Source organism: Homo sapiens, chromosome 3 (assembly GCF_000001405.40).
Source record: "Homo sapiens chromosome 3, GRCh38.p14 Primary Assembly".
NCBI classification, from domain to species: domain Eukaryota; kingdom Metazoa; phylum Chordata; class Mammalia; order Primates; family Hominidae; genus Homo; species Homo sapiens.
Genome location: NC_000003.12, coordinates 106,051,788 through 106,073,967, shown reverse-complemented (window position 1 = coordinate 106,073,967; position 22,180 = coordinate 106,051,788). Strand labels below are relative to the sequence as shown.

General features: G+C 37.9%; 1 long non-coding RNA gene across 1 annotated transcript, besides 2 other annotated features; it reads left to right on the top strand.

Moving 5' to 3' along the window:
* Positions 399 to 1,241: an enhancer, noted in NCBI's record as "NANOG-H3K27ac hESC enhancer chr3:105791574-105792416 (GRCh37/hg19 assembly coordinates)". NCBI's record gives its function as "activates a minimal SCP1, AML or CMV promoter by ChIP-STARR-seq in naive H9 embryonic stem cells {active_cell/tissue: H9 hESC(naive)}" and the evidence as "EXISTENCE:reporter gene assay evidence [ECO:0000049][PMID:30033119]".
* On the top strand, positions 3,785 to 13,546 carry LOC105374026 (uncharacterized). Its single transcript, XR_924310.3, has 3 exons — positions 3,785 to 3,995; positions 7,137 to 7,198; positions 13,470 to 13,546. It is a non-coding gene; the product is annotated as an uncharacterized LOC105374026 (long non-coding RNA).
* Positions 5,252 to 5,546: a silencer, noted in NCBI's record as "tiled region #7303; HepG2 Repressive non-DNase unmatched - State 24:Quies". NCBI's record gives its function as "represses a minimal TATA promoter and a strong SV40 promoter by Sharpr-MPRA in HepG2 cells {active_cell/tissue: HepG2}" and the evidence as "EXISTENCE:reporter gene assay evidence [ECO:0000049][PMID:27701403]".
* Positions 13,547 to 22,180: the final 8,634 nt, after the last annotated feature.

Here is a 22,180-nt window from a genome sequence, read left to right as displayed (position 1 = left end):
TCAGCCCCCCGCCTGGCCAGCCGCCCCGTCCGGGAGGTGAGGGGCGCCTCTGCCCGGCCGCCCCTACTGGGAAGTGAGGACCCCTCTGCCCGGCCAGCCGCCCCGTCCGGGAGGGAGGTGGGGGGGTCAGCCCCCGCCCGGCCAGCCGCCCAGTCCGGGAGGGAGGTGGGGGGTCAGCCCCCCGCCCGGCCAGCCGCCCCGTCCGGGAGGGAGGTGGGGGGATCAGCCCCCGCCTGGCCAGCCGCCCCGTCCGGGAGGTGAGGGGCGCCTCTGCCCGGCCGCCCCTACTGGGAAGTGAGGAGCCCCTCTGCCCCGCCAGCCGCCCCGTCCGGGAGGGAGGCGGGGGGGGGGTGTCGGCCAGCCGCCCTGTCCGGGAGGGAGGTGGGGGGGTCAGCCCCCCGCCCGGCCGGCCGCCCCGTCCGGGAGGTGAGGGGCGCCTCTGCCCGGCCGCCCCTACTGGGAAGTGAGGACCCCTCTGCCCGGCCAGCCGCCCCGTCCAGGAGGGTGGTGGGGGGGTCAGCCCCCCGCCCGGCCAGCCGCCCCATCCGGGAGGTGAGGGGCGCTTCTGCCCCGCCGCCCCTACTGGGAAGTGAGGAGCCCCTCTGCCCGGCCACGACCCCGTCTGGGAGTTGTGCCCAGCGGCTCATTGGGGATGGGCCATGATGACAATGGCGGTTTTGTGGAATAGAAAGGCGGGAAGGGTGGGGAAAAAATTGAGAAATCGGATGGTTGCCGTGTCTGTGTGGATAGACGTAGACATGGGAGACTTTTCATTTTGTTCTGTACTAAGAAAAATTCTTCTGCCTTGGGATCCTGTTGATCTGTGACCTTATCCCCAACCCTGTGCTCTCTGAAACATGTGCTGTGTCCACTCAGGGTTAAATGGATTAAGGGCGGTGCAAGATGTGCTTTGTTAAACAGATGCTTGAAGGCAGCATGCTCGTTAAGAGTCATCACCACTCCCTAATCTTAAGTACCCAGAGACACAAACACTGCGGAAGGCCGCAGGGTCCTCTGCCTAGGAAAACCAGAGACCTTTGTTCACTTGTTTATCTGCTGACCTTCCCTCCACTATTGTCCTATGACCCTGCCAAATCCCCCTCTGCGAGAAACACCCAAGAATGATCAATAAAAAAAAAAAATAAAAATAAAAATAAAAATAAAATAAAAAATAAAAGAAAAAATGACCTTGATATGAAAAAATGTCAAACATAAATTGTAGAAATAAAAAACAAAATTGCCGAAATTAAGACTTCAACACCGAAAAAAAAAAAATTAATCTACTATTTTCCACATCATAAAACCTTCTACATGGTCAAGAAGTAAGATGGCTCACTCAAACAGTTGAGAAGAGTTTGATAAAGAACTATGAGCGAAGGCAGAGTTTTAGGAAACCATCGAGGGAAAGAGTGGTACTCAGGGCTAATGACAGTAGCATGGTTATATCTAGGACTGAAGGGGCAATCACACAAGGATGGTTGTAAGGGAACACAGCCTGACAGGAGCCATGACCCGTGGTAGAGGGACATGGGCAACATACAGCAGCCCAAAAGGGAGGGTCCCAGCAAAATGAACACTCATTCTCTCCTCCCACCTGGAGATCTTCCATCAGTATTAATAAGAAGCCAGAAGGTGAGGAAGTCTTTAATAAGTCCATGAGGTCATTCTCCCCAGATCACAGTGTGTCCGGAGTTGGTTCCTTCCGGTGGGTTCGTGTTCTCACTAACTTCAAAAATAGAGCCGCGGACCTTTGCTGTGAGTGTTACAACTCTTAAAGATGGCACAGACCCAAAGAGAGTTAGTGGTAGCAAGGTTTATTGTGAAGAGTGAAAGAACAAAGCTTCTACAGCATGGAAGGGGACCCAAGCAGGTTGGCGCTGCTGACTGGAGTGGCCAGCTTTTATTCCCTTATTTGTCCCCTCCCATGTCCTATTTCTGTCCTATCAGAATGCCCTTTTCTCAATCCTCCCGGTGATTGGTTACTTTTAGAATCCTGCTGATTGGTGCCGTTTTTACAGAGCGCTGATCGGTGCATTTTACAATCCTCTTATAAGACAGAAAAGTTCTCCAGTCTCCACTCCACCCAGGAAGTCCAACTGGCTTCACCTCTCAACGGGTCTGAACAAGCAAGAGTCAGCTATCTCACTAGACATTACTTCCCACCAATCTACCTCCACTCCCACCCTAGGCCCCATAGTAGTTCAGGGGGATCTTCTGAGAAATGTAGCTTTTTTACGACGTGGGTAATCCTATGATTTAAGAAAATATGACTAACTCAATTCTGACTTCCAGAACAGATCAATGAAGAAGTGATTACTCACAATCCAAAAGAATTTACACAGAACTCCTTTTACAAAGAGCTCCCTTAATGAAGTTATGAAACGGATTTAAACAATTTTAGGGAACACATGATTTACAGAGTTCCGATAAGTGGAAATCCGCTGCTCATACACTTAGCAAACCTTTGTGAATTATATATTCCAGTTTCTATGACTCTCTCAGCTATTTTAGATGACTTACTGCCAAAACAATGTAGTCTTCTTGCTTATTTTGCTTTTATTCCTAGTACTAGCTAAATGCCTTATTTATGGAAGTAAGTGTTTAACAGTCTTTCATCTGTTTTTCTTTCGTGTCAAATCATAATAGGGTGAAAAAGGAGGCTATCATGACTTCAGAAATAAGAGAATAGAACACTTGTCTTCTTTGACTTCTTTTTTTATTTTTTTAGACGGAGTCTCACTCTGGACGGAGTCTCACTCTGTCGCCCAGGCTGGAGTGCAGTGGCGCGATCTCGGCTCACTGCAACCTCCGCCTCCCGGGTTCAAGTGATTCTCCTGCCTCAGGCTTCGGAGTAGCTGGGATTATAGGCTCCCGCCACTACGCTCGGCTAATTTTTTGTATTTTTACTAGAGATGGGGTTTCACCAGGTTAGCCAGACTGATCTCAATCTCCTGACCTCGTGATCCGCCCACCTCGGCCACCCAAAGTGCTGGACTTTTCTTTGACTTCTTGATGGTTGAAGTATAGGCTAACTCCCATGGTTTTCTCTACAATATTACAAAAACAGTAACTAATTGAAAAATGAAGAGAATATGACTGATATAAAAGCTACTTCTAGTAGTTTAGTGATATTCCTTTATTAAGAAAAGTGTGATGGAATAAAGGCCCAAGATTAAAATGAAACAGAGGGATTCCCTAGGAATTGTAACCCCAGAGGTTTGTGGATTTTCAGTGGTAAAGTTATTTTTCCCTGACTCTTTGTCATGCCTCCCTTTATAGTAATTCCATTTTGCTCTTAATAACAAACATTAGTTTTGACTATTATGCAATTTCTCTTTTATTTCTTTCAGAAAATGGAAGATTTCTCCTTAAAAGACAAGGAGAGAGAAATATGCCAAAAATGAGAATAGGGAGTAGAGGCTAAAACCAAAATTAGTATTCAGAAATTTCAAATGATGCTGAAATTCCCAGAGGGAAGTATTTATTTATATAAGTATATTCGGTTAATTATTTATAGAAATAAAACTCAGGAAAATTCCACTCTCACTGTTTTTATCTGCGTACACTGTCCCTAGAGGGCTTGTATGTGGGTTTCCATTCTCAGAATCAGAAAGTCCCTGTTTGTTCTTGTCCTTGTTATCATTTTATTTTAAAATAAAATTTGTGAGAGTAGTGATCACACTAATTTTTCTCTGTGTTTAGAAGGCCCGCTATTTTAAAGACTGATTATTCATATTTTTAAAAATCACATTTTTTTCATATATATATGAAAGACATAAATTTGGAATGCTTTAATAAAGTTCAAAAGTCAGGATATGTGCTCATTAGGCTGACATCATCAGCTGAAATGACGCCATTCACATCCAAGACTTAATGCACTTGCTGTCGATGTTTGATGTATGCCAGGCACAACCTTATTCTCCACAAAAAGCCAAGGAAAGACCCAAGTAATAACAAACTCAGAGAATGGGAAGCAAGAAAAGGAGAGCATGAAGGTAATCATTTATTTAAAACATATGAAACTTGGAATTTTCTTTTTGCAATAAAAGAGGAGCGAGGCGGTGTTAAAATGTAGCAGGTTTTTGATGGTAAAAGCATTCTAAAAATATCAAGTGTTTTATGACAATATTTCCCAGAAAATTATAGCATTCCCCAGGCAAGAAAGGCACTTCCTGCATGAGTAGTTTCCACTTTTGTACACTCCATTTCTTTTTTCTGTGATTTAAAAAATTTCCATCCGAAAAGTTATAATTTTATAATGGCCACTCAAGTGGAAAGTATTAAGAGGAATCATCTAATGCTAATAAAAATAAGAGTCAAGGGTACAGATCACTCCCACTCACTCTCATATTTTAATGCAATGGCCTTTAGGGATCACTCTGAAAATTTATCATGAAAGAGCATAATGGTAGCCATTACCTATTCAAAAGCAAATGTGAAAACATGGTGGTCTAAAATACTTTATTAAAAAGATTTAGGCTTGTAACAGAGACACACAGCCTTATTGTGCCCTTTGTATAACCAATAATCTCCAGTTCAATCCACTGAAGCAATATTTTACTTAAAAGATTAGGTTTGTATCAACACTCCCTTTATAATACCTTAATAATACCAATAATCCCTAGTTCCATCAATTGGCTTAAAGAATTTTCACTTTAGGAAAAATAAAAAAACAATTATTGTTTTTATTGTTATCAAATAGGAAGGCCATTGCCATCCTTATTACGTACATCTTTCTAGTCTGATGTAAATTGCATGCAAAACCCAAACATGAGCAAGATTGTGATTCAAAATCTTTAAGTGTGTTGAACAGGGTCCCACACTGACAGTGTTCATTTTCATATTTTCTGGAACAATTCAAAGATTACTCAATTCTAAGAGAAAATGATAGGGAAAGCAAGCCAGAATTCTGGGCCGAAAATTGCTTTCATTCTTCAAAACATGGCCTTCTATGTGTTGCAACTGAGTGCCTGGAGACGTCAAAAGGGAAAGAGAAAGATGCTTACCAAAGTATGAAACCACTTTGGAGAGAATGACATACAGATAGGCTGTGAAGGTGTTATCCTCATAACAGAGGACACCCTTGAAAGAATTATTTATAGCTGTATTGTTCAAAGCTTTGCCAATCTTAATGTCAGCTGTGGTTTTTTCTTCTGAAACTCTACCAAAACATAGTACTAATCTCTAAAACGATATGTAGTTAGATGGATTTGTGACTATACTCTAAAATGGTATGTTGAAGCACTTATAGTCTCTGCTCCAAATACAAAAGGATATGAGAACATCAGAAATATGATGGAAATTGCCATTGAAATGAGTTAAGGCCTACCCTCTGGTGACTTAGAGCTTTTGTGAACAAGAATATTTCAGTTGTAGAATTGGCACAGAAAGTAAGCAGTAATGGGTAACCTTTGGCAAGGAAAGGGAAACAATGATCTGGGGCCAGTGCCAAAAGAGAGAAGGACTGGGACTCAAATGAGAATAACTGAAAAGAAAATTCCTAGGCTTAGCACATGCATTAAAATTCTAGGAAATGCTAAGAGACTAAAAAAAGAAGTAAGGGTATCTCAAACCTCACTACACTGCATGAAAAAATGAACAAGCCATTGGTGAGTTTTTCCAAGAATTTTGAGTCTATATGTAGATGATGCTATTAATTTTTTATAATTTAGGTAGTATTTCCCCCACCACCTTTTTTGGTTTTTGTTTGTTTTTTAGAGACAGGGCTTTGCTCTGTCACCCAGGCTGGAGTGCAGTAGTTAGAACTAGAGGCATGCACCACCACACCCAGATAATTCTGTTTTATTATTCTTTGTAGAAATAGGGTGTATTAGTCCATTCTTACATTGCTATAAAAAATACTTGAGACTGAATAATTTATAAAGAAAAGAGGTTAAATTGGCTCATGGTTCTACAGGCTGTTCAGAAAGCATGGCAGCATCTGTTCAGCTTCTAGGGAGGCCTCAGAAAACTTACAATCATGACAGGAAGGTGAAAGGGGAACCAGTGCTTCACACCATAGCTGGAGCAGGTGAAAGAGAGGGCGAAAAGAGGTGCTACAGCCTTGTAAACAATCAGATCTTGTGAGAACTCTATTATGAGAACAACACTGGGAGGATGGCACTAAACCATTAGAAACTGCCCCCATGATGCAATCACCTTCCACTAGGCCCCACCTGCAACATTCAACATGCGATTTGGGTGGAGACAAATCCAAACCATATCACAGGGTCTCCCTACGTGGCCCCAGCTGCTCTTAACTCCTGGTATCAAATGATCTTATCTCCTTGGCCTTCCAAAGCACTGGGATTACAGGTGTGAGCCATGATGTCTAGCCAAATTTCCATTTAATTAATATTTTAGTTGTGACTAGTAGTAGTTATTCCCAAAGGTACTATGAATGGGGAGGTAGAGGAAATATGCTATCTAGCAATATTCCATAAAATTAATTATCTGGCTGAATTTAGGAAAAAGTGTAAAGATGGGTACATTATATATTGTATATATATTTAAATCCAAGGTTGATAGTTACTGCGATCAGTGCTTTCATATTCATCATCCTTATAGACCAAGTCACGAAGAATGTAAGTCATTTAACTGATATTACAAACATTCTAAGTGACCCCAATTAAAATCACACTATTATATTCAGATTCAAGCCCCAGATCCCTCATGCAATTTATCATGAATTATATAGTCCAAGGTGTGGGAAGGAATTTGCATACATCACTATGGAAAAGCTATTAATGATAGTTTGGTTAGGTTTAAAACCTATCTTGTTGGTCTCAAAAAAGATAAAATATGAATTCTCTTTATAATAAATCTGAATTCTAGAAAGAGGGTCCAAAACTATGACACACATACATGAAAACATTTAGAGTGGGATTTTAAATACATGATTTGTTAAGCTGGTACTCACCAGGAAGCAGTATGGATACTGTAAAGACATGACAGTCTGTTCAACAAGGCATCTGAGGAATTGTCCATGTAAGATAAGCTAGAACAATATATGAACTTACTGGATTTGTAGCCAGTTGAAAAAATCTTATGTAAAGAGGATTAAGACAACGTACAGGTTATTTTCTATTGGAACAGCAAGACTCACTATTTCTTCTTGTTTTATATTTCTATATAAGTACACAGATGATAACAAATAATCCAGAATTATCAAGTCAAGATCAAGGCCAAAACCAGCAAGGTAAAATTTAATAAATGTAATATTCTGCATTACTCTTCAAGTAAATCAGTTAAATAATTCACTTAGAAAAAGAAATAAGCATTTTAGTTACCTAAAACTCAGTATAAGCCAATATATGCAACTGGTTACCAAAAACATTCATAAACTCCTAATCTATACTAAAAGAGGAAAGAATGAACTTAGACCTGTGCACTCAATATTGGTCAGATCATATGTAGTGTATTTTGTTAATATATGTATTTTTTTATTTTTGTGAGTACATAGTAGGTATATACATTTATGGGTACATGAGATGTTTTGATACAGGTATGCAATGTGAAATAAGCACATCATGAAGAATGGTGTATCCATCCCCTCAAGCATTTATCCTTTATATTACAAACAATCCAATTATACTCTTATAGTTATTTTTAAACGTACAATTAAGTTATTATTGACTGTAGTCACTCTGTTGTGCCACCAAATAGTAAATATTATTCTTTCTTCCTATTTTTTTGTACCCATTAAACATCCACACCTCCCCACCTATACCCCTAGTACTCTTTTCATCCTCTGGTAACCATCCTTCTAGTCTCTATGTTAATCAGTTGTTTTGTTTTTTAGATCCCACAAGTAAGTAAAGACATGCAATGTTTGTCTTTCTGTGCCTGACTTCTTTCCCTTAACATAATAATCTCCAGCTCCATTCATGTTGCTGCAAATAGCTGGATCTCATTCTCTTTTAAGGATGAATATTTACTCTTTTAAGGATAAATATTTACTCTCTTAAAGATGACTATTTACTCTATTGTGTACATGTACCACATTTTCTTTATTCATTCATCTGTTAATGGATGTTTCAGTTGTTTCCAAATCTTAGCTATTGTAAACAGTGCTGCAACAAACATAAAGGTTCAGATATCTCTTCTACTGACTGATTTTCTTTCTTTTAGATATATACCCATCAGTGGGATTGCTGGATCATATGGTAGCTCAGTTTTTAGTTTTAGGTTTTTTTTTTGTTTGTTTTGTTTTTGTTTTTGAGACAGAGTTTTGCTCTTGTCACCCAGGCTGGAGTGCAATGGTGTGATTTTGGCTCACTGCAACCTCCACCTCCGGGTTCAAGTGATTCTCCTACCTCAGCCTGCTGAGTAGCTGAGATTACAGGCATGCGCCACCACGCCCAGCTAATTTTTGTATTTTTAGTAGAGACAGGGTTTCACCATGTTGGCCAGGATGGTCTCAATCTTTGACCTCGTGATCTGCCCGCCTCGGACTCCCAAAGTGCTGGGATTAATGGCGTAAGCCACTGCGCTGGGCCAGTTTTTAGTATTTTTGAGGAACCTCCAAACTGTTCTGCATAGTGGTTGTACTAGTTTACATTCCCACCAACAGTGTACAAGGGTTCCCTTTACTGCACATCCTTACCAGAATTTATTATTGCCTGTCTTTTGAATGTAATCCATTTTAACTAGGGTGAGATGATATCTCATTGTAGTTTTGATTTGCATTTCTCTGATGATAAATGATTGTTGGACACCTTTTCATATGCCTGTTTGCCATTTATATGTCTTATTTTGAGAAATGTCTATTCAAATATTTTGCTCATTTTTTAATTGGATTATTAGATTTTTTTCCTATAGAGATATTTGAGGTTCTTATATATTCTGGTTATTAATCCCTTCTCAGATGGGTAGTTCACAAATATTTTCTCCCATTCTGTGTGTTGTCTCTTCAATTTGTTGATTGTAACCTTTGTTGTGCAGAAGTTTTTTAACTTGATGTGATCCCATTTGTTCATTTTTGCCTTGGTTGCCTGTGCTTGTGGGGTGTTGCTCAAGAAATCTTTGTCCAGACCAATGTCCTGGATATTTTCTTCAATGTTTTCTTGTAGTAGTTTTATAGTTTGAGATATTAGATTTAAATCTTTAACCCATTTTATTTGATTTTTTAATATGGTGAGAGACAGGGGTCTAGTTTCATTCTGCATCTGGGTATCTAGTCTGGCACTATTTATTGAAGAGACTGTCATTTCCCCAATGTATGTTCTTGGCACTTTTGTCAAAAATGAGTTCACTGTAGGTGTGTGGATTTTTTTCTGCATTCTCTATCCTGTTCCATTGGTCTGTATGTCTGTTTTTACACCAGTACCATGCTGTTTGGATTATAATAGCTCTGTAGCATACTTTCAAGTCAGGTAATGTGATTCTTCCAGTTTTGTTATTTTTGCTTAGCTTCATTTTGGCTATTCTGTGTCATTTGTGGTTCTATGGAAATTTTAGGATTGTTTTCTCTAGTTCTGTGAAGAATCCCATTGGTATTTTGATAGGGATTGCATTGAAACTGTATATTTCTTTGGGTAGTATGGACATTTTAACAATATTTATTCTTTCAATCCAATAACATGAAATAATTTTCCATTTTTTTGTGTCTTCTTCAATTTCTTTCATCGGTGTTTTATAGTTTTCATTATAGAGATCTTCCACTTATTTTACTAATTCCTTGGTAAGGAATTATCACATTATAAATGAGATTACATTTTTAATTTCTTTTTCACATTATTCGCTGTTGACATATAGAAATGTTACTGATTTTTGTATGTTGATTTTGTATCCTGCCACTTTACTGAATTTGTTTATCAGTTCTAATAGCTATTTTGTGGACTGTTTAGGTTTTTCCTAATACAAGATTACGTCATCTTGTATTAGGATACAACAAGGATATTTGATCTCTTCCTTTGCAATTTGGATGCCCTTTATATCTTTCTCTTGTCTGACTTCTGTAGGTGGGACTTCTGGTATGATGTTGAATAACAGCGATGAAAGTGAGCATCCTTGTGATGTTCCAGATCTTAGAAGAAAGGCTTTCAGTTTTACCTCATTCAGTATAATACTAACTGTGGGTCTATCATATATGGCTTTTATTATGTTGAGATATGTTCCTTCTATACCAGTTCTTTAAGTTTTTTTAATCACAAAGCAATGTTGAATTTTTTCAAATGCTCTTTCAGCATCAATTTAAATGATGATATGGTTTTTATCCTTCATCCTGTTGATATGATGTATCACACTGATTGATTTGTGTATGTTGAACTATACTTGAATCCCAGGGATAAATCCTACCTGGTCATAATGAATGATCTTTCTAATGTATTGTTGAATTTGTTTTACCAGTATTTTGTTCATGATTTTTGTGTCAATATTTGTCAGGTATATTGACCTGCAGTTTTGTTTTGTTTGTTTTGTTTTTGATGTGTCTTTGTCTGGTGTTGGCATCAGGGTAATACTGGCCTTGTAGAATGAGTTTGGAAGTATTACCTCCTCCTCTATTTTCTGGAAAAGTTTGAGTGAGATTGTTATTAGTTATTTAAATGTTTGGTAGAATTCAGCAATGAAGTCATTGAGTCCCAGATTTTCTTTATGGTTATTATCCCTTTGAATAAACTTTCTACCTCTATCTCTTTCTCTGCCTCCTCTTTAAGGCCAATAACTCTTAGGTTTGCCCTTTTGAGATTATTTTTTAGATCTCATAGGTGTGCTTCTCTGTTTTTTAGTCTTGTCCTTTGTCTCCTTTGACTATGTATTTTCAAATAGCTTGTTTTCAGGCTTACTAATTCTCTCTTCTCCTTGATCAATTCTGCAATTAAATGACTTTGATTCTTAAGTACGCCAATTGCATTTTTCAGCTCCAGAATTTCTGCTTGATTCTTTTTATTTCAATTTCTTTGTTAAATGTATCTAATAGCATTCCGAATTCCTCCTCTGTGTCATCTTTAATATTTTTTAGTTTCTTTAACGTAGCTATTTTAAATCCTGTCTCTGAACGGTCACACATCTCTGTTTCTCCAAGATTGGTCCCTGGTGCCTTATGTAGTTCATTTGGTGAGGCCATCTTTTCCTGGATGGTGCTGATGCTAGTAGATGTTCTTTGGTGTCTGGCCATTGAAGAGTTAGGTGTTTATTGTAGTCTTCATTGTCTTGGCTTATCTGTACCCATTCTTTTTGTGAAGGCTTTTCAGGTATTTGAAAGGACTTGAGTGTTGTGATATAAGCTGTTTCTGCTTTTGGAGGCACCTCAAGTCCCATAATACTGTGATTCTTGCAGACTTGTAGGGGTACCACCTTGATTGTCTTAGACAAAATGTGGGAGAATTATCTGTATTACTAGGCAGAGACTCTTGCTCTCGTCTCTTACTTTCTTCTAAACAAACAGTCTCATCTCTCTGTTCTGAGCCACCTAAAGCTTGTAGTAGAGTGACACAAGCACTCCCATGGCCACCACCACTATGACTATGCTGGGTCAGATGTGAAGCCAGCACAGCCCTGGATCTCACACAAGAGATACTGTAACTACTCCCTGGCTACTGCCTATGTTCACTCAAGGCCCTGGGCCTCTGCATTCAGCAGGCAGCAAAGCCAGCCAGGCCTGTGTCCTTCCCTTCAGGGCAGCGAGCTCTCCCAGGCCCTGGGTGGGGTCCAGAGATGCTATCCAGGAGACAGGAACCAGAGCCAAAATCCCTAAAAGTCTACCTGGTGTTCTACTGTACTGCAGCTGAGCTGGCACTCACACCACAAGATGCAGCTCTTCCCACTCTTTCCAAAGGTAGAGGAGCTTCATCCCATACCCACTGCCACCACAAGCCACAGGGAGTACTGCAAGACTACTGCAAATATTCCCTTAAAGCCCAAGATGAATTCTGCCTGGATTCACTCTTCAGGACAGGGGGCTCCCCTCTGGCCAAGGACAAGTCCAGAAATGCCATCCACGAGTCAAGTCCTGGAATTGGGACTCCAAGAGGCTGCTTGGTGCTCTACGTCCCCATGGCCATGATGGTACATAAGGTGTAAGACAAATTCCCCTTTACTTTTGCCTCTGCTTTTCACAAGCCGAAGGAGTTTCACCCCACAGCCACCGCGGCTGATGATGTGCTGTATCTCACCTGAAACAGGGAAGACTCACAGCCTCACTCAAGGCCCTCAGTATAGTACCTGGGTATTGCTGCTGGTTATTCGGGGCCCAAGAGCTCTTCAGTAAGCAAATGATGAATGTTGCCAGAACTGGGTCCTTCCCTTCAAGGTAGTGGGTGCCCTTTTCACCAAGAGTGTGTCTAGAAATGTCTTCCAGGAGCTAGGTCTTGGAATGAGGGCCTCACAAATCAGATCAGTGCCCTATCCTGCTGTGGCTGAGCTGGTATCCAAGATGCAAGACAAAGTTCTCCCCACTCTTCCCTCTCCTGTCCTCAAGCAGAAGGAAGGGATCTCTTGTGAAGCAGTCTGGGATTAGGAGGGGGGTGATGCCAGCATTCCCTTAACCACCTTGGCTGATGTCTCAGGTCGCATGCACTCCACCGAATCCACTGTGTCTGGGCTCATTTGAGGACTAGAACTTACCTAAGAATTGCAGTCCTTATGGCCTACACTACCTTTTAAGTTTACTTAGAGACGCAGAGCACTGTGGCCCTTGGTGGCAGAGTTTGTGGGAAGTCACGTTCAGACCTCCGGAATTGGCAACTGCCCTCTGGTTAGTGCGAGTATAAATGCTCCCTCCATGGGTGGGTGTCAGATGAATTCGGTCTGGTCTTCCATTCTGCTCTAATAGGACAGCACTGAGTTCATTGTCTCCCAGTTGCTGTGTTTGCCCTCCCGCAGGGCCCAGAGATGCTCTTTGCACCACGCCTTGGCAGCTGGGTTTGGTGGACGAGTGGTATCAGCAATTTAAGGCTGTTTGTTTTTTCTATATCTTCTGTGCCTATTTCAGTGATACAAAGATGAAACCAGGTATGAGGAAGGCTCATCTGATTTCTGGTTCTTATGAAGATGTTTTTACTGTGTAGACAGTTGTTAAATTGGTGTCCTTGAGGGAGGAGCAGAACCTTCTGTTCCACCATTTTGCTTTACCTCTTCCCTGAACTGTACTGTGTATTATATTTATTTCTGATTACCATGTTTTAAATGAACTGTGATAAAACTGTAGAGACTTTTGAGAATGGTGACTATAACACTAAGAGACCTTGCCATTTTATGTAAGAAATGTTACAAGACACTAGGATGTTTATACTGGAATTGGGAATACTTTCTGAGAATAGGAGAGCAGTCCTTAAATATAGAAGAGGTGCTTATAAAAGCAAAACCAGAATTACTTTAAAATTAGCAACCTCAAAGCAAGCATAGATCAATGTATGGAAGTTTAGAAAAAGACTTCATATCAATAACAAGGAACACAATCTTATATTTCATAATAAAATAACAATGAATGAATGCATTCATAACATAACAGAATTGTTTTCTTTCAGGTCCATAGACTCCCTATCACTGGATGATCAAAGCAGGTGTTCTACTAGAGAGAAGATAAAAATGTGGTCTGTTGTGTTTTATATGCATTTTGATTCTGCTTTTTTGAATGAGCAGCTTATTCTAGAGAGTCTATTTCTGTATTGTTTCACTCACCACTGCAGGATTGTGTGCAGCATTCGGCAGGGACAGAGGACACTAATATCAATGCCAAGGAAGTCACTGCAGGAACAATGATCTGAGGAGACCCAACAGTTTTAAGGCAAGTCTTTGAAGGGCCCCTCTGTGTGGAAGCCTCAGATCTGATTTGACTGGTTTGCTGCAACCCTGATGAGTTGAGATTCTTTGAAGTGAGAGGTCTGCAACTTAACTCTTCCTGATAACTTTTTCCTCTGACCAACTTTCTTATCTTATTGTGGCAATGAAGATAAATCCAGTTTAGTTTGTTTTGAGGAGCAATAACAGCACTCCCTACTTCATCTCCTCTACACACAAATTTACACAGCCTTTCTAAAGATGCATACCTGGGCAACTCGAGATAAAACTTTCCCCTTTCATCTAATCCTTTGTGCTTGTATAATAAATAAATCTTGTAGGAAAAAACTGAAAGCTTCAAATGTTGATAAGCCAGTAACATTCCTCTTTTAGCCACCTCTGAATTTTAATAAATTTAATTTTAATAAACTAGCAGACTATCTTTGCTAGCAACACTTTGTATTTCCATATTTAAAGAGCATCATAATGGAAATTGATTTATTAAAAACAATTCCAAGCATACAGCATCTGATGCTATTTATCATAACAATGTTAACTTGGTAAGAAGCGTAAGGTAATGGTAAAGATGTTGGATTTTTTTTGCCAGCAGTTCTTGGGGGAAAATTTTTTGCTAAAATTTCAGGGTAGAAACTTTAAAACTCAAAATTATAAGGTTTCTGTGCAGGCTAGTGAGAAATTATCTAAGAATAATATTCAAGTCTTTTTCAAAGAATTGTGTGAAATGAGGTCAAGAAAATAACCATAGCATTGTGCCCTTGGGTGATTATTTATTTCATTCTATTGCGTGTTTGTGGCATACTTGTGGGTTTTTTTGTTTTTGTTTTGTTTTGTTTTGTTTTGTTTTGTTTTTTACTTTACGTTTTGGGATACACGTGCTGAACGTACAGGTTTGTTACATAGGTATACATGTGCCACGGTGGTTTGCTGCACTCATCAACCCGTCATCTAGGTGATTATTATGGAGGAAAATCATTGTTGTTTAACATTGTCATAAAACACTGAAAACTAGCCTCCATACCCTCAGCCACTTTATCCTTCAGGTAAGAGGCAAGGATTTCCAAAGATAATATAAGTTTTGGAAGCTTATTAGTATAGAGTGTAGAATGGATAATTCTCTCCTCTTATCCTGTGAGGTTATAGACTCTATGAGATGATTTGGGCCTATATCAACTGAGAAGGGGGCACCAGAGGCCAACCAGGTGATGCTCTGTTAATTCCACTAATCCCTAACAAGCATTAGGCATGTTGATGCATAAAATGCCCACTCCAAAGGCAAAGGATAAAAGTCTAAGCACTGTGTAATAATAAGTCCTTAAATAAACCTGATCTAAAGTTAATAAACCAATACTAACCTTCATAAAGTTAATAAACCAATACTGATTTTCATTTTAACTACCTATTTTAATTCAATTCAACAAATATTTGATAATTCTCTAGGACTTGCTTTGGTTGATTTATTTGTTTGTTTGTTGCCTAGGCTATGCTGGCTTCTGAGCCCTGTCCTTACTATTATGAAAGGGCCTCTGAACCCTCTAGCTCTTCCCGCTCTGCATGCTTCCCAGGCTCACTCTCCAACATGCCTGCTGACTTGCTCTCTTGCTACTCACAAAACACAGAGACTACCACACCTCACTCCTCATTTCTTGAGCTAGATCTACTGCCACAAAGAGAGGAAACTTTTTTTTTCCTTCCAACTCTTGCAGACCTTTAGGTTTCCAGATTGCCACCCGAGGTTTCAGTTTTATAGTCTTGTTTATTAGGTAATTGAAGGAGTTCTATAGAAATAAAATCAAAGAGAATTAAAGGTTACAAACTAATGCATATTTTCCTTATTGATCATAAGCTACTGTTTCAGGTAAGAAAACAAGCTTAAAAATCCCCCACTCCACTGTCATCCTCAGGATGACCTCTTGCATAACCTTATCAGAGTCATTTCTTCTTTCTCTCATGTTCTAAGGGGACAGATTATTGGGCTCTATATTTCCTTGCTCTCAGGAAGCAATTAAACACTCACAAAAATAGGACTCCAGATTAACCCGTTATCTCAGAATTCATAACTGGGAGTATCATACAAGGCCACCAGGACATTCACTTCATTCTCCGTAACTCTATGTTAGCTTTAAATATGATGACCTATAATTGGAGAAATAAAGAACCAATGGAGCAGCAATCTTCTCAGATTTCATATATGTTAACTTTCATTTGAACTATAATCCTGATACTACATACTCATCTAACCAAAATTATCAACACCCTTTATTCATATATGTGTTCTCAAATGCTTCTCCATAGTTCTGACTCTCCTGTTCATCTTTTCACTGACTTTCCTTATTTCAGATTATGTGAAAACAATAGAGAGATGCTGTTAAACCCTAACATTATCTCTTGATTCTCCAAGGCTAAATCCTAAAATTAACAATAACCAACAATCTGACATGATTTTAATAATTTTATATAACATGTAGATACTCAATTGTTTGTCAGGGTAAAAACCAAGTTAAATAGTTTTTATTCCACCAAAATAGTGTAGCCAGGTTACTGAGTACCTATTAACCAAACCATACCTCCTTCCCTCACACCAAGCTGCTAGAAAAACCTTATCAGACCATTTGTAATGGAGTTAATTTGAATTAATTCAAATTAATTATTTGAATTAAAATAGGCAGTTACTGCTGAAAACTAAAATAGAAGCATAAACTTTTTATGAAAATGCACATTGATGTAAATACCATGTCACATCTGTAGGCTGTTTAAATGCCTCATAAAACATATTCCAAATGACTGTTAAGTAATCATTAATTCCCAAGATGAAAATAATTTAGAATAATAGATTTGAACAATTAAAGCTGATAAAAACAAAGACAATCAGATAGAAGCTTTCACTGAAAAAAAAAAATGTTTATACTATATTTAGCATAGATCCTAGAGCAAGAGAGCTCTGTACTTATTTTAAGTGTTAGAAACTGGTCCCGTTTTAGACTAGAAAATGAAGGAAAAGTCAGACATGATTAAAAATGACATGTGCCTTGAGGATAAAGGCTACAACTCTTTAGCTGTCTGAAATACTTCTGATGCTTGGTTCTGCCAGAGATCTTCAGAACCCATAAAGAAACACTCGGAATGTCAAGATTTTCAAAACTATTGCCCAAGGGAGGCCTACAAACACAATTTAAAGATCATTGAGCTGTTTCTCTATTGACATCTTTTTCTACCAGCACTTTTTTCAAATTGGAAGCATCGATTTTTTAAAACTCAGAAATGTTTCATAAAAGCTCATAATGCTTTCTCTAGAACAACAATGTAACTATTACCAGGACATGATCATCTCACTTTTTAGATAATTTTTAATGAAAAATAGTTGCATTAATATTCTCTTACGTCATGGATTTTTTCTTTATGTCTAAATTACACAAGTGTTAACAAACTTATCAATTTTATGATTATCTTGAATCTACAACAACTTAATTATTTACATTTGTATTGCTCTCACATATTCCAATATACATACTCACCTCTATGGTCAAGTAAGCATTACAATTTCCATTTATTTTTTAATTAATAAGTTATATTTATTAGAGCAGTTTCAGTTTCTCCCAAAACTGTTCAGAAAGTACAGGAGGTTTTCATATACACTTAACCCCATCCACACAAAGCTCCCTTTCCCCACTGTCAACATCCCTTAGCAGAGTGGTACATTTGTTAAAATGAACCTACATTGGCCCATCATTACCAATCAAAGTCCACAGTATATATAAGGATTCACATTTGATGTTATAAATTCTATACATTCTGAAAAATAGATAATGACATACATCCATCATTGTAATATTATACAGGATAGTTTTACTGCCCTAAAAATACTCCGTGCTCAGCCTATTTATCTGCTTCTCCTCCCTCACCACCCCCAACCCCTGGCAGCCACTAATCTCTTTTACACTTCCATAATTTTGGCTTTTCCAGAATGTCATTTATTTGGAATCATATTTTTTAGATTGGCTTCTTTCACTTAGTAATATGCATTTAACTTTTCTCCATATCTTTTCGTGGCTTTATATATAGCTCACTTTTTTAGTACTGAATAATATCCCATTGTCTAGATGTGCTACTGTTTATTTATCCACTCATATACCAAAGGATGGTTTGAAGGCTTTCAAGTTTGGGCAATTATGAATACAGCTGCTATAAACATCTGTGAGCAGGTGCACAAAGAAGTGCAATTGCTATATTGTGTGGTAAGAATATGTTTAGTTTTATACAAAACTGCTAAATGGCCCTCCAAAGTGGCTATACCATTGTGTATTCCCACTAGCAATGAATGAGAGTTCCTGTTGCTCCACATTCTTGCCAGCAATGGATATTGTCAATGTTCTGGGTTTTTGCTATTCTAATAAGTGTAATGGTACACTGTTGTTGTTTTATTGCATTTCTCTAATGCCATAAACATATGTCATTGAACATCTTTTTATATGCTTACTTGTCATCTGTATATCTTCTTTGGTTTGGTGTCTGTTCAGGTGTTTTGCTCATTATTCAATCAGGTTGCTCATTTTCTTACTGTCGAGTTTTAAACTTTTTCATATATTTTGGATAACAGTCATTTATGAGACATGTCTTTTGCAAATATTTTCTCCCTATGACTTGTCTTCTCATTCTCTTGACACTGTCCTTCAAAGAGCAGAATTTTTTAATTTTAATAAAGTCCAGCTTATCAATTATGTCTTTCATGGATTATGCTTTTGGTGTTGTGTCTAAAAAATAATTGCCATATTAAAGATCATCTAGGTTTTCTCCTATGTTATTTTCTAGAAGGGTTATAGTTTTGCATTTTATATTTAGGTTTATAATGTGTTTTGATTTACTTTCAGAAGAATGTAAGATCTGTGTCTAGATTCCTTTTTTTTTTTCTGACATGTGGATGTTTACTTGTTCCAATGCCATTTTTTGAAAAGACTATCTTTGCTCCATTATATTGTCTTTGCTCCTTTGTCAAAAATCTCTTGACTATATTTATGTGGGTTTATTTCCAGGCTATTTTGTTCATTTGATCTATTTTTCTGTTCTTTTGCCAATACCACCGTCTTGATTACTGTAGCTTTTAAGTCTTCAAGTTGTTGTTAGTTCTCCAACTTTGTTCTTCTCTTTCAATATTGAGTCAGTCATTCTAGGTCTTCTACCTCTTTATAAAAACTTTTTAACCAGTTTATCAATTCATGAACAAACTGTCTGGAATTTTGACAGGGACTGCATTGAAGCTATAGATCAGGTTGGAAGAGCTAATATACTGACAACATTGAGTCTTTCTACCGCTGAATATGGAATATCTTTCTACCTTCATTTAATTCTTTTTTTTTTTTTTTTTTTTTTTTTTGAGACAGAGTCTTGCTGTCGCCGAGGCTGGAGTGCAGTGGTGCGATCTCAGATCACTGCAAGCTCTGCCTCCCGGGTTCATGCCATTCTCCTACCTCAGCCTCCCGAGTAGCTGGGACTACAGGCACCCCCCACCACGCCCGGCTAATTTTTTGTATTTTTTGTAGAGACAGGGTTTCACCGTGTTAGCCAGGATGGTCTCGATCTCCTGATAGCTCTCATCAGAGTTTTGCAGTTTTTCTCATTGATATTTTGTACACATTTCGTTAGACTTACACCTATGTATTTCATTCTGGGGTGCTAATATAAATGGTAATGTGTTTTTACTTTAAAATTCCACTTTTTTATTGCACATATAGAAGAAAGTGATTGATTTTTGTATATTAACCTTATATCCAGCGATCTTACTATAATAACTCTTGGTTCCAGGAGTTTCTTTGTCAATTTTTAAAAATTTTTACATAGTCTGTGGTCTGAAAAGCAGTTGTATTTTTTCTTTCTTAATCTGCTTACCTTTTCTTTTTTTACAGCATTATCTAGCACTTTTAGTACTGTATGGCAAAGCAATAGTGAGAGGGAATATCCTTTCTTTGTTCCTGATCTTAGCAAGAAACCTTCAAGTTTCTCATTATTAAGTACATTGTTAGCTTCATGTTGTTCATAGATATCTTTCTCAAACTGAAGAAGTTTCACCTGTGTTCCCAGTCTTCTGGGAGTTTTTATCATCAATAGGTGTTGTATTTTCCTATATGCTTTTCCTGTATTTATTGATATTATCATGTTATTTTTCATCTCTAGTCTGTTGATGTGGTGGATTGCATTAGTTGGTTTTTAGTTGAAACTGCCTTGCATAACTGGAATAAATCCTACTTGATCATGGTTATACTTTATTTTTACATTTTTGGATTTAATTTGCTAGTATTTGTTGAGAATTTTTTGCATTGTATTAATAAGAGAAATTAATCTGTAACTTTTGTTGTAATGTCTTTGGTTTTGTTATTAGGATAATGCTGGCCTCATAGAATGAATTTGAAAGTGTTCCTCCTGCTTCTACTTTCTGGAATTGATTGTAGAGAACTGACATAATTTCTACTTAAAATATTTGGTAGAATTTACCAGTAAACTCATTTGAGCCTGGCATTTTCTGTTTTGGAAGATTATTAATTGTTGATTCCATTTCTATAATATATATGCCTATTCGGATGATCTATTTCTTCTTCTCTAAGTTTTGGCAGATTGTGCATTTTATAGAATTGGTCTATTTCATCTAGGTTATCAAATTTGTGTACGAGGACAAGTTCATAATTTTTTTATTATTCATTTAGTATCCATGCAACCTATAGTGATGTTCTTTCTCTCTTTTCTGACATGAATAATTTGTGTCTTTTCTCATTTTTCTTAATTAGATAATCTAGATTTTCTTCTATATTATTTTCTAGGAGTTTTATGGTTTTGCATTTTATATTTATGCTAAGGGTTTATTGATTTTATTGATCTTTCCTAATAACCACCTTTTGATTTTGATAATTTTTTTATTTCTTATTTTTAATTTCACTGGTGTCTTCTCTAATTTTTATTATTTTTTTTCTTCTGCTTACTTTGGATATAATATACTCTTTCTAGTTTTCTAAAGTTGGAGATTGCATTATTCATTTTAGATCCTTCGCTTTTCTAATATATTCATTCAATCTTATAAATTTCTCTATAACAGCTGCTTTCACTGCAACCCACAAATATTGATAATTGTATTTTTATTTTTATTTAGTTTAAAATATTTGGGGAGGATTTCTCAGTTATCTTTTTGTATTGATTTCTAGTTTCTTTCTGTTGATTGACTTCTGGTATAGTTTCAGAGCAGATATTGTATTACTTCTATTCTGTTGAACTTGTTAAGGTGTTTTTATGGCACAGAAAGTGGTCTATCTTGGTGAACTTGCAAAGAATATATAATCATCTATTGGTTGAACTGTGAACTTGAGAAGAATATGTTATCTTCTGTTGGTTGGAGTAGTCTATACATGTCAACTATATCCAGTCAGATGTTGTTGCTGTATAGCTCATCTACAGGCATACCTCTAAGCTATTGTGGATTTGGTCCCACCCACAATAAAGCAAGTATCGTGATAAAATGAGTCACACAAATTTTATTGTTTCTCAGTACATATAAAAGTAATGGGCTGGGCATGGTGGCTCACGCCTGTAATCCCAGCACTTCAGGAGGCCTAGGCAGTCGGATCACGAGGTCAGGAGATCAAGATGATCCTGGCTAACATGGTGAAACCCCGTCTCTACTAAAAATACAAAAAATTATCCGGACGTGGTGACACGCACCTGTAATCCCAGCTACTTGGGAGGCTGAGGCAGGAGAATCGCTTAAACCAGGGAGGCGGAGGTTTCAGCGAGCCGAGATGGTGCCACTGTGCACTGTGCTCCAGCCTGGATGACAGAGCGAGACTCCATCTCAAAAAAAAATAAATAAATAAATAATAAAAAGAAAAAGTAATGTTTACATTATACTGTATTTTATTAAGTGCTTAATACCAGATGCTGGCAAGGACATAGAGAAAAGGGAACTCTCATATACTATTGTTGGGAATGTAAATTAGTACAAGCACTATAGAAAACGTATGGAGATTTCTCAAAAAAAAAAAAAACTAAACTAAAAATAGAACTACCACGTGATCCAGAAATCTCACTATAGGGTATCTATCCAAGGGAAAAGAAATCAGAATATCAACTGCACATTTATCCCAGTTCTATTCAAAACAACAAAGATACAGAATCAACATAAGTGTCCATCAGTGGATAAACGGATGAAGAAAATGTGGTGTATATACACAATAGAATACTATTTGGTCACAAAAAAAAGATGAAATCACATCATTTGCAGCAACATGGATGGAGCTGGAGGTCATTATGTTAAGTGAAATAAGCCAGGCACAGAAAGACAGATACCACATGTTCTCACTCACATGTGGGAGCTAAAAAATTTAAGCTCACAGACATTCAAAATAGAACAATAGATACTAGATTCTGGGAAGGGTCAGGGGTTGGGAAGTAAAGAGAGGTT